This window comes from Homo sapiens, chromosome 20 (genome assembly GCF_000001405.40).
Source record: "Homo sapiens chromosome 20, GRCh38.p14 Primary Assembly".
Taxonomy (NCBI): Eukaryota; Metazoa; Chordata; class Mammalia; order Primates; family Hominidae; genus Homo; species Homo sapiens.
In genome coordinates, this window is record NC_000020.11 from 1,162,330 (window position 1) to 1,173,882 (window position 11,553).

At 47.2% G+C, this 11,553-nt stretch overlaps 1 protein-coding gene across 6 annotated transcripts in view, besides 2 other annotated features; it reads left to right on the forward strand.

Moving 5' to 3' along the window:
- PSMF1 (proteasome inhibitor subunit 1) overlaps window positions 1-9,917 on the forward strand; it is a 58,984-nt gene extending 49,067 nt beyond the window's left edge. For 2 of the 6 annotated variants that reach the window (NM_178578.4, NM_006814.5), the window contains 3 exons: window positions 801-854; window positions 1,989-2,147; window positions 2,700-9,917. In NM_178578.4, the coding sequence (NP_848693.2) occupies window positions 801-854; window positions 1,989-2,147; window positions 2,700-2,751 (265 nt within the window). In that variant the 3' untranslated portion in view covers window positions 2,752-9,917. Of the gene's footprint in view, window positions 1-800; window positions 855-1,988; window positions 2,164-2,699 lie in introns of all 6 variants that reach the window. The other 4 variants (NM_001323407.2, NM_001323408.2, NM_001323409.2 and 1 more) reach the window with 3 other exon arrangements.
- Window positions 953-1,072: an enhancer, noted in NCBI's record as "active region_17455". NCBI's record gives its function as "activates an Ori minimal core promoter by ATAC-STARR-seq in GM12878 lymphoblastoid cells {active_cell/tissue: GM12878}" and the evidence as "EXISTENCE:reporter gene assay evidence [ECO:0000049][PMID:35858748]".
- Window positions 9,196-9,490: a silencer, noted in NCBI's record as "tiled region #3766; HepG2 Repressive DNase matched - State 17:Gen3', and K562 Repressive non-DNase unmatched - State 14:Gen5'". NCBI's record gives its function as "represses a minimal TATA promoter and a strong SV40 promoter by Sharpr-MPRA in HepG2 and K562 cells {active_cell/tissue: HepG2 | K562}" and the evidence as "EXISTENCE:reporter gene assay evidence [ECO:0000049][PMID:27701403]".
- Window positions 9,918-11,553: the final 1,636 nt, after the last annotated feature.

Consider the following 11,553-nt stretch of genomic DNA (forward strand, 5'->3'; position numbering starts at 1 on the left):
TTTTCACTGTTATGTGAGAGCATTAGGCCTAGCAGCACATCATTGTGTAAGAAAAAATAAAAGTGCTGCCATTTAAAAAAAAGACATATAAGACTTTTGAAGGACTGTGTATTTTTGTGTCTGTCTATATCTATATATATTACAGAGATAATATAGAATTACTCTCCAGAAAGCATGCAGTCATTTATGTGCCTTCTAGCTCATGCATTCTCCATGAAGGCAGAAATCGGCTATTAGGGTTGGGGGCAGTCCTAGAGATTACAGTGGTTTGTGGCCCTCCTGCAGGTACAGTGCATAAACAGATACACAGTACATCTGTAGTACTAAAATTTTATACAGGGGCTATATTGACAAAAAGGTTGAGAAGTACTGTTCTAGCTGTATGTGACTCCATACATCTGTCTCCACCTTGGAAGCTTTCAAATCTTAGCTTTGGGATTTTGGTTTTGGGTTTAAGAATAATATTTTTCTGACGTAAAACTTCTTGGTTCATTATACAAAGTTGAAGAAACTGAGAAAGTTGTGAATAAAATTTATCTGGAGGTTACCAATATTAATATTTTAAAATATTAATACTTAATATTTTAATCTATGTTTTTAGGTTTGTGTTCCGCCCTTCTTACATAATTGTCATTGTAGGATTATCATTGTTCATCTGAGCCAAGGACCACCCTGAAATATCCCTTGTGCTATGGTCTCATGCAAGGGTTTCCCATGCCTGTGAGTGTGTTTGTGATCCCACATGTATCAGGTGCCTGGCTGCTCTGGGACTTGCAGTAATTGTCTCTTGTTTGTTTCAGGTGTGATCCCCTGGGCCCGTTTGTTGTCGGGGGAGAAGACTTAGACCCTTTTGGGTGAGTACTGCTGGGGAGGTGGCAGCAACACAACTTGCTTTTGTGGCTTTTCAGCCCCAGCTCATCTTCTAATTTTAGAGTTTTCGGTCAGTCTCTTCCTTTGGGGTGGAGGAGGCAGTTGTTGCTGAGCAGCTGAGAAAGCACTGCCACATACGCTGCCCCTCCACACCTAGAGCGGTGCAGGAGAGCACTGAGTGTTGGCAGGGAGGTGAACAAGCCTAGCAGGCAGCTCTTCTGCCATTTCCCGGTCCCCCTGCCCACCCTAGTTTATCAGATGTATAGTGAGGAGCACATGGTGGGCCTTAGGGCAGCTCAGGGCTATTCAGAGGTTGCCCCACTTAATAAAGGGAGTCTCTGAGCCCCATTAGACTCTGGATGGTTCTTATGCATCCAACAAAGTTACTACAGCCTCTGCTATCCACTGTCTTCCCTGAATGATTCCAAATAGATTTTAACCTCTGCTACAAAGTGACCCCGACTTCAGCATCTCATTTGTAGACAGTGGGGATATCACTTAAGTCTGCAGTGCAGCTTAAGCAGTGACCTCAAAATTTGGGGAACCATCAGCTCATTCATCCTAGTTTGAGCACATGAGGTCAGGTCAGTGGAACTCCATGAGGGACAGATGCTGTCAGGAGCCACACTTAGGCAATCTACAGGCAGTCAGAAATTGCCCTGAGGCCCTTAAGGGAAAGAGAAAAAAAACCAACATCACGAATTACCTCAATGCTATAATTAGTCCTTAAACCTAAAGTAGCACCCTGCAGAACCTTGTGAGTGCATTGTAGTTGACCTTGGCAAGTTCTGGCTCTTGGTCTTGATCAAGTTGGCCCTCTTGAGTATATGATATGGCAGGGATCTCAATTTTGAGGAGCCCTACAGAACCAAAAGCACTGTGCAGAACCAACCCCTGCAGAGCCAGAAGTACTCAGCTGTGAGGTATGCTCTTCGTATAGGCTTTGTGTTCTTGCCCTTGCCCACTTTCCGCTGGCTCTCAGGCAGCCATCCACATGTCTGCTTGGGCCATCCAGAGTAGACATCCCAGCCATTCTTGGTGCATTGTAACCTCCCTCGCCTTTTCTCCAAGGGCAGTCCTTGCCACACCTGCTTACCTAACTTTTCTTCTTGCCTCAGGCCTCGGAGAGGTGGCATGATTGTGGATCCCCTGAGATCTGGCTTCCCAAGAGCACTTATTGACCCTTCCTCAGGCCTCCCGAACCGACTTCCTCCAGGCGCTGTGCCCCCAGGAGCTCGCTTTGACCCCTTTGGACCCATTGGGACCAGCCCACCCGGGTACGTAGTCACTCAGGTATGCTGAGAAGTAGGACCTGATGGCAGCTTGGTTCAGTGTGGCAGCAATGAAGGTTTCTAGCCCCAGGCACAGAGCTGCCGCTGCCTTCACCTGTTGCTGCCAGGAGAGTGGAGCCTCCTCCAGGGCCCTGCCTGATTTCTCCCTGGAGCCTTCTAGGAGCTTCCTATCCCTCAGTGCCTCTCTTTCCCCAGCTCCACTCTGGGGAGGACTCAAAGTAGGAGGAACTAACAATTCTTGAAAGTTAAGTATGTGGCAGAAACTCAGTGGATCCTTTCTTCAGCAGTCTTGGGTAGATGGTGGCGTCTACATTTTATAGATGCAGAAAATGAGGCCCTGAAAGATTAGGTAACTTATACCAAGCGGGGGAGTCAGGATTCAAACCCCGGTTGTCTGGCTCTTGAGTGCATGTGTTTAAATTCCTCACACCGCCACATCATGTTGAAGGGCAGGCTCCCTCAGTGCAGGGTCATGTCTGCCCATGTTCCCCTGGTCTCTCCATCACTCCAACTCATCAGCCCCTCTTTCCATTCCAGACCTAACCCAGACCATCTCCCCCCGCCGGGCTACGATGACATGTACCTGTGAAGGCCTCAAGAATGTAACATCCCAGGCTTCCCTCCATTCTCCTGGAGCTGCCACCGCTGTCCCCATCAGCAACCATGTTCTTGCAGGCTGGGGGCAAGGGATTCTGCTCATGTGTTTGCAGACCGGCTGGGATAGCCTCCCCACCCCTTATCAGAGCCAAGACACCTGCTGCAGCTCTCCACCTAGCTGCAGATAGCTCCCAAAGAGAAATCAGTGTGTCTCTTTCACCATCAGCTCCTCCCCTTTCACCACCAGCTCCTCTCCACTTCCCAAGGGAGACTCCGGCAACCTTCAGCAACATATATCCTCGACCAGATGCAGTGCTATAAGAACAGAACGCATTTTGGATGTTATTATTAAGAACCAAATGTCAATACAGAATTCATGTTGCCGGTTTCCCACTTTTCTTTTTACATTAATGCATAGCTGCTTCCATTTATGAGACTTTAGAGTTTGAGTTTCTGTAGGGCTGAATGACTCTTTTTCCTGCCCAGGGCCCATTCTTGCTTCTCAGGCACCTTCCGTTTATTAATTGCCATTGCTCCTGACATCACTAAGATGGGTCCCCTTCTGGCTGCATGAATGGAAATGAGTGACTGGAAATCCCATAGGCCACAAGAATGACTTTCACAAGGGCAGGAACATTGTGGAAAGACTGCATCATTCTGATGAGGCAAAATCCTCCAGCTATTCCTGTCTGGGCCAGTTTTGTAGGTCCATCTGTGCATGGGCAGCAGTAGTCAAAAAGCCAAGGAAAAAACAGAGCAGACCTGAAGGCTAATCTTATTTTTGCCACTAACTTAGTGAATGACCCTAAGCAAGTTCCTTCTCCTCTTAGGGCCTTGTGCCAAGCCTATGAAATTGGAGGTGGCTTTCCTGCTCTAAAGCATTTTGATGTCTCATTCTGTGTTTGGTAACCCCTATAAACTGGGGCAGAGGAAAAGAATGATGGTTCAAGGCCATACTTCCCTTGAACCTTGTGTGGTTCTTGCCTAACTCTGTGGTTTTTGGACCCCATGGGGCCCAGACAGAGCACAGGAGCATGGGCTGCCTCTGAGTGTGGTGTTGAACTTCGGGAGGAGCAGGGAGCCCTGCACCTTGTGTCCTGGCCCACCTGACCTTTGGTGTTCTCCGGATCCTTTTCAGCCCGAGGCCTGACAGACGCGGGCAGTGATGAGCCCTGTTCTGGAGTGGAAAGAGCACGATAGAGCACCAGGCTAAGAGGCACGAGATCAAGGCGGTAGTCACTTCCGCTCTGCAGCTAGCATTTCAACCATATGTGGATCCTTTCATTTCTCAGCTCCCTGGATTCCTTCCCCTAAATTAGGACCTATTATTTACCTGTAGGTAAGCAAGCTACTGTAGCTCTTCTGAGGTATCTGCCAGGCTGTTTTCTGTAGCCTCAGATTGCCTATCTGCTTAGCCTGAGAACAGGTAGATGAAAACTAAACTGATGCCTAGGCCCAGGGTCAGTCTCAGATGGAAGCTGGGCCTGGGTGGGGAGGCTAGCATGCGTGGCTCCCTGGGTATTTCTGTCAGTCCCCATGGCAAGCAGTGATTTAGTAAAACACCCCAGAGTCAGGGAAGCCAACCACCTTGAAACCTTTAGAACATCTCTGCTTTGGAGAAAGACCCAGAGATCAGGCAGAGGTGCAGATTCAATCATTACTCATAACCTTTGAGAGATGGCAAATGGGAGGAGTGTTAGTCTTTGTTTTGGAATTGGACCATTCTTGCAACCAAAAGGACTTAGAGCAGTTTGCTCATAAAGACATCCTTTATTATAAAAGGAAGTATTTAAAGGATGATAGAGACCATCAGATAGAAGCAGGGAAGGTAGATAACTTTTAGGACCTTGATGTGAGGAAAAGATAAAATTTAAACAATAAATTTGCCACTTAGATTTTCTAGCAGCAAAGTCCGAAAAGATAGTTATATACAAAATTCTGTTTTCTGAAAACAAAATTGTGATTCACCTTCAGAATTGGCCATTTTTTTTGTGAGTTTCCTTGCATCAAGGACACTGAGAAACACAGTCATTGTCTTAGGTGTTCTATGGGAGGAAGTGAATAGAGCCTTTAGGAACTTCCTGGTCAAGCTTATGGTGCTTATTTTGATCTGGGCCACTTCCCTCCTTCCAGTCATGAGTAATCATCAAGGAGCAAGTTGGAGTGTTTCAGGTGTATATTTTGTAGAACCCAAAAGATTGGAGCCTTAACAATAAACATCAGCACTAAGTGACCTGTTCCTCCTTTTTTAAATAGCAGCTTTATTGAGATATAATTTACATACCCATAATTTACATACCTGTTTAAAGTATACAATTCAGTGGATTTAGTATGTTCACAGTGTTGCACATCCACCACCATTTCTAATTCCTGAACATTTTCACCACCTCAAAAAGAAACCACACACCCATTGGCATGACTCCCCATTCCCTTGCTCCCAGCCCCAGGCAACCACTAACATCTGTCTCTAAAGATTTTTTTTTTTTTTCTGGACAGTTCTCATAAGTGGAATCACTCAGTATTATGGCCTTTTGTGTCTGGCTTCTTTCATTTCATGTGATGTTTTCAAGATTCATTCATGCTGTAGCATGTATCCATGGTATGGATATATCACATTTTGCTTATCCTTTTATCAGTTGATGGACAGTTGGGTTGTTTCTACAAAAAGGCTATTATGAGTAATGCAGCCAAGAACATTTGTGTACCAGTTTTTGAGTTTTCAGTTGTTTGAGTTTCAGATGTTTTCAGTTCATTTGGGTATATACCAAGGAGTGGAATTGCTGGTTCACATGGTAGCTCTATATTCTACTTTGTGAGGAATTGTCAGACTGTTTTCCACGGAAGCTGCACCATTTTACATTTCCACTGGTAATTTATGAGGGTTCCAGTTTCCCCACATCTTCACCAACTCTTGTTATTTTTCATGCTTATGGCCATCCTAGTTAGCGTGAAGTAGCATCTCATTGTGGTCTTCTCTTCCATTTTTTAAAAAAGAATTTTGACCTACACCAAGCAAGGCAGAGACCAGAGTCAGTCCCCCTTGGGGAGCAATCTGTGGTTTTGATAATCACCACCTTGGGATGAACATGGCTGGTGAGCTGCAGAGCAGTTGATTTGACTTTTGGGGATGGTTCTAGGCTGGATGTGATACAGGGCAGGTTTTGTCTCTAGAGAAAGTTCTCATGACCTTCAGGTCTAATGAGATTCAGATCATCACTTTGGTTTGGTTTGAAATTTCTTTGTTTATCCAGTGAATTACAAGTAGAATAAAGATCTGGTTCTAAATTGTCTTTTGGTGGTGAAGTGCCATAGACCATTTCGGACCATTTCTATGATGTACCAGCAGCCCCCACATCACACCTCCTCTTCCTTGGCTTGTCTCTTCCCCAATTCTTAGAGTTAGCAGTGTTTCTTACTGCATTCATCTCCTCAGTCATAAGTGTCTGTCAACCTCCGTTGTGAAGTCATGAGTCTCTTGAGACTGAAACTCCAAGAATGTATTGTGCTCACAGTGGCGATGGTGTTCCTGTGCTGGATGGTCAGTGGTTGTTGACATGTAGTTAGAAAATAGGTAGCAAGTTCCACGCAGCCTCACTCTTTGGAACCTAGTTTCTCCTATGGCCTCCCTTTCTACTGTTGTTAATAACATTCTATTAATGATCCATGCCTCTCTTCACAGGAGGAATATTAGAATCTATGGAGCAGTTAGTATTCTTTGTCACCTAAATTTGTCTACTTCTGTACATTTCCAATAAGGCACCACCAGGGCAAGGGAAGATTCCCCACATGTATATCCCCAGCTGTTTCTGTCATAAAACTTGCATGTGTATAAACCACTATTGACTTTTTGCACCAAAGGAGATATTCAAGGACAGACATCCAAGTCCCCAGCCCTTTATTGCCCTTGGGATACCACAAGGCACAGATACAGGCAGCTGCTGTGTGGCTCTGGAGTTCCTAATCCCCAGATTGTAGCAATGATGATGTGATCCTGCTGCTCTCTGGACCGTAACCTTTTTGGTTACAAAAGGTAAATTTCTGTTTACTGCATCTGAACCCCAGGACTAATGCGTCACTGCATTAACCCCAGGACACATGGACCAAGTCACTGCGGCCGTACTTGGCCCTGAATCTGTCCTGGAGGGTGGGTCAAAAGGCAAGGGTGGCAGGTAGGATGGTAGGCAGTGAGGGGTGGCAAGGCCTAGCTGACTGAGGACAGACCCAGCAACAATGACAGGAGGTTTGAACACCTCACGAGTGGTAGTGCCCATGGGAGGTGCGAAGTGGAAGGCCCAGCCCTTGCTTGGAGGAACGTGAGGCTGATGGTGCAGTGCAATAGAGGTCACTGGATGCCCATTTGAACAGCTGCGTTCCAGATGAGCCACCTAAGGTGGATGTTGTGAGAGTCACAGTGGGTTTAGAGGGACAAGGTAGTGAGAGGATGCTGCTGACGCATTAGTCCTGGGATTCAGCTGCAGTAAACAGAAATTTACCTTTTGTAACCAAAAAGGTAATGGTCCAGAGAGCAGCAGGATCACATCATCATTGCTACAATCTGGGGATTAGGAACTCCAGAGCCACACAGCAGCTGCCTATATCTGCACCAAAAAGTAGATGTCCTTCACACTGCCATCTGGACACCACTCAGCTAGCTCATCCAAGTTCAAGGCTCAATTGAATGCGTCTGGTTGTTGGAACCTACATGGCCTCTCAAATGGTACTGGCATGGAATATTGGGGAGATGTCTTTATTCCCTCTTCCCACCTTTCCTGGAAGGTGCACTGGGACAGAGGTCTAGTGAGCCAATCTTCTGTGTTGTCTACGCCATGGACCATGATATAAATGGGTACCACAGCCTTGCATGCCTGAGCCTAACCATCTCCTGAGATGCTTGCTCTAAGTACACATTAGTACATGCTGGGCCCCAATCTAGATCTCAAGGGAACGGCCTTCAGATCCATTTTTGACAAGTTCCTTTTGTGAGTCCTATGATCATGCAAGTTTGAGAACTGAGAAGGGAGGGGAAGACCTACCTCCTTGTTACTCAGACCACCAGCAACAGCAGCATCACCTGGGAACCTGTTACACATGCAGAATCTCAAGCCCCACCCCAGACATTGAATGAGAATCTGCATTTTAACAAGTTCTCCATGAGATTTGTGTAAACTTAAAGTGAGAGAAGCTCACATGGACTATGTCTTTTTCCTTTACGTGAATATCGAGTACAAAGAATTGAGCCAGTCAGTCCTCTTGGTTAATGGCACATTATGATTAATGCATGCATGAACTCTGATTCGAAGTTTTCGTTGATTTTACCCCCAGTATCCACTCCATTCCTTTGCCCCCATGGGTCACTTAGATGTGTTTCATGTTATCTTTAAAAATGCAGCACCTTTATAGCATACATTATATCTTCAAACCATAACCATAATGAGGTGTTATCCCCATTTCCTGTACCAGAAAAGGAAGGATTGGGAAGGTCCAGTAATTTGCTCAGGGTCAAGCAGGAGTCTCAGACTCAGTCAAGCGTGGTTACTCACAGCCCTCCCTTTCTCAGTGTGTGGCCTTCCTCATCCACAAAATGAGCATCACCCCTACCTGCAGGATTCTTGCAAGATCCAACCAAATAATGTGTCTTATTAACAGAGAGTTGGGGCTCGGTGGGTGCTTGCTGCAATTGTTACTAAAGTCATATGGGTAGATAAGGGTGGGACTCAAGGACAAGAGAGGAACCTTGGAATATCCCCCAGTGCAGGAAACAAGCATTTATCAGGTGCACACAGCGTGCTAGGCTTCTCCTCATCGCATGTAGTACCCCTGACAACCCCAAGGTAAACACAGCTAGTGGCATTAGTTGAGATGCTGCACCTACCCCCTGGGGTGGCAGAACCGTGATTGGAACCCAGGTCAGTGCTCTTTTCAGTAGAACTGCTGTACCCAGACCTCACATCCTCTCTAGGTGAGGTGCATGGGTCCCTGGGCAAAACCCATTCCAGAAGCTGGGAAACCACGTCAGGACTTGTGTGAGAAAGGAGTGATGCTTCATAATCCCCAGGATGGTCTTAAGGCTCCTCAGTCAGTCCTATTTGCACAGCGTGCCTCATGCTCCTGAGTACCTCCACCTGCAGCCACAGTGCCCAGAGCACCTGGTTAGGAGGAGCATCTGAAACCACCTGCACAACCTCCATTCCACAGAGGAAGAAACAGGCTCAAGAAACCCATATGTGATGGGGAGCTCCTAACAGGCTTCCCTGGGCCACAGGAATGGGCTCGGGCTCTCTGCTGGGCTCTGTCACCTGGCTCCATGTGCTGCTCACCTCGGCCTTCTGAGTTTAGTAGGATGGCAGCTAGTCTTCCCTATTGACAGGTGAAAAAGCAGGTCCACAGCTGTTGAGTGACTTTCCCAAGGCCACACAGACCACAAATCCTGGCTCCAAGTCCAGGGCGTTTCCAGTAAGCACTGTCCAAATCAGTCATGGAGGTCCCTGAGTGACAAAAATATGCAGGACCCCTTCTTTCCCCCTCCCAGTTCCCGCAGCTAGGCTGAGTGTTAAGAGGAAGGTGCCATACAGGTTCAGCACCCTGGTCAGCGCCCAGCCTCCCTAAAGCCGCTGGAGGAGGCCTTTGGAGCCAGCTCAGGTCAGTGTCTGCTGCTTCCTTACCCAGGATGGCCCACTCTTGGGGACAGACAGGCATCCTGAGAGGAGGGGGCCTGGACCTAGGTGTCTTGCCACCCAATACAGAGCCCTGCCCTCTCCCTCTCCTTCAGAAGGAAGTATGGGAGCAGTTCCATCCTCAAGGTTTCTTGGTTCCCAGGACAGAAATTTGAGTGAGAAGCATGTGAAGAGAGGGATGGCCCAGGGGCCCTTGGCCATGGTGGCCTTGGACAAGTTTGGCTTTCCCCATCTGTAAAATGTAGATAAGGATGGACCCACCTCCCCAAGATCCTGCCTATCTGTGAGAGTCCATGACTAAGTGGGCCATGGGCTGGACTGAGTTCAGTGCTCCCCCAACCTGCCCTCCTCCTCTCCCCCACAGAGCTTCCCAATTTACATGTAAACCTTGGGCATCAAAGTGACAGCTGATAGCCCAGGTTTGCCCACAAATGTGCTCTGACTGGCGTGCATGTTATTAAATTTGATAAGATGCATGATGGCAGCTATTAGAGTTTTGACTCTGTTCTTTACCAGTAGTGTGACCTTCGGCAAGTCACTTAACGTAGCTGTGCCAAAGCATCCTCATATGTAAAATGGAGGTAGTGATAGGACCCCTCTGTAGGATTGTTATGAGCTTTAAATGATCTAGTCCATGTAAAGACATAGATGAGGGCTTGGCACAGAGAGAACACTATTGTTTAAAAATAGGGTGACTTAATGTGTGTAATAAGTAACTGGTTCATTGCAGTGTACAAACATGAAGTGTTTTCTTTTTATTCAGCTGACCTCTATCAACTACTCCTTTCGTATCTCAATATCTTGGGCCCAGCCAATAAGTAACTGGGCACTTTGATTTTCAAACTCAGTCCAGCCCAGCTTAAACTTTCCACCTCCCAAACTTGCAAGAGGTGGTCTCTGGCTTCTTCTGAGCTCTTGCTCCTCCAGTGTGGTGGGTGAGGGGGAGGAAGGGAGAAAAGTAAAGTCTCTTCACTGGCCATGATGATGAGGATGGTGAGAGGAGATTTTGGTTTTTGTTTATTTGTTTTTTTAAGAAACAGAGTCTCTGTTGCCCAGGCTAGAGTACAGTGGCATGGTCAAAGCTCACTGCAGCCTCAAACTCCTGGCCTCAAGTGATCCTCAAGATGGAGTCTTGCTATGTTGCCCAGCCTGGTCTTGAACTCCTGGCCTTATGTGATCCTTCCACCTCACCCTCTGGAGTAGCTGAGATTACAGGCACAAGCCACTATGCCCAGCTACAGGTGGTCTTACTCTAATCCATACTAGGTTTTTGGGTTGGGTTTGGTTTGGTTTGGTTTGATGCTGGGGTTTTCAGTAGACTACATGCATAATTTGGGAGTGGTGGTGAGTGCTTTGTCCTGGACCCTCAGAGAGGAGTGGGGATCTCTGTCCAATCTAAGAGGCTAAGAGGCTCACAGCCCATCTCTTTGACATAGTATGCTGGCCTGCAGTCACTTGCGCCACCCACAGCTCAGCCTCCTCTCACCTCCCTGCATCAGTGCTTGGAACCCCAGGAACACTGGGGTCCTTCCCCTACCTACAAGGGCTTTGGGACACTTGGAGGGGAGGTAGGACTGTCCCTCCTCCTCCCTGATCCCCAATACCACCATCCCTTCAAGTCAGCGTGGGCTGTTCCCACGAGGGGCTTCCCACTTCAGGAATTTTCTGGTCAGAAATAGACCTCATCTCCATGTTCACAAACTCTTCTGAGCTCCAGAAGATAACATTTCAAGCCCTCTCAAGAATACTCTCCTTACATTTTTCATCTGTTCAGTGCTGTATCTCCAAAACCTAGCACAGAGTGCTCAAATCTTTGTTGAAAGAATGAATAAAGGGTGCTTGGATGGGTAACACTCAGGTGGTCTGCAGGCCCTGCAGCTCAGCCCTGCAGCTGGGAGGCAGGCATCGGTCCCCTTCTTAAGTGATTTATTAAGTCCTGGGCAGGGGGAAGGGTGTGGAGGTCTGGTCCCAGCAAGTGGCATCTCATTGGACACTCCCTTGTCCTCAACCACCATTTTCAGGCAGCGGGATAATCCCTTTCAGCATTCTTTTACCCACACAAAGGTCCAGCAGTCCAGCTGCTCTTGAAAAATCAGGAGTTCTGGTAACCCTGAGCCCAT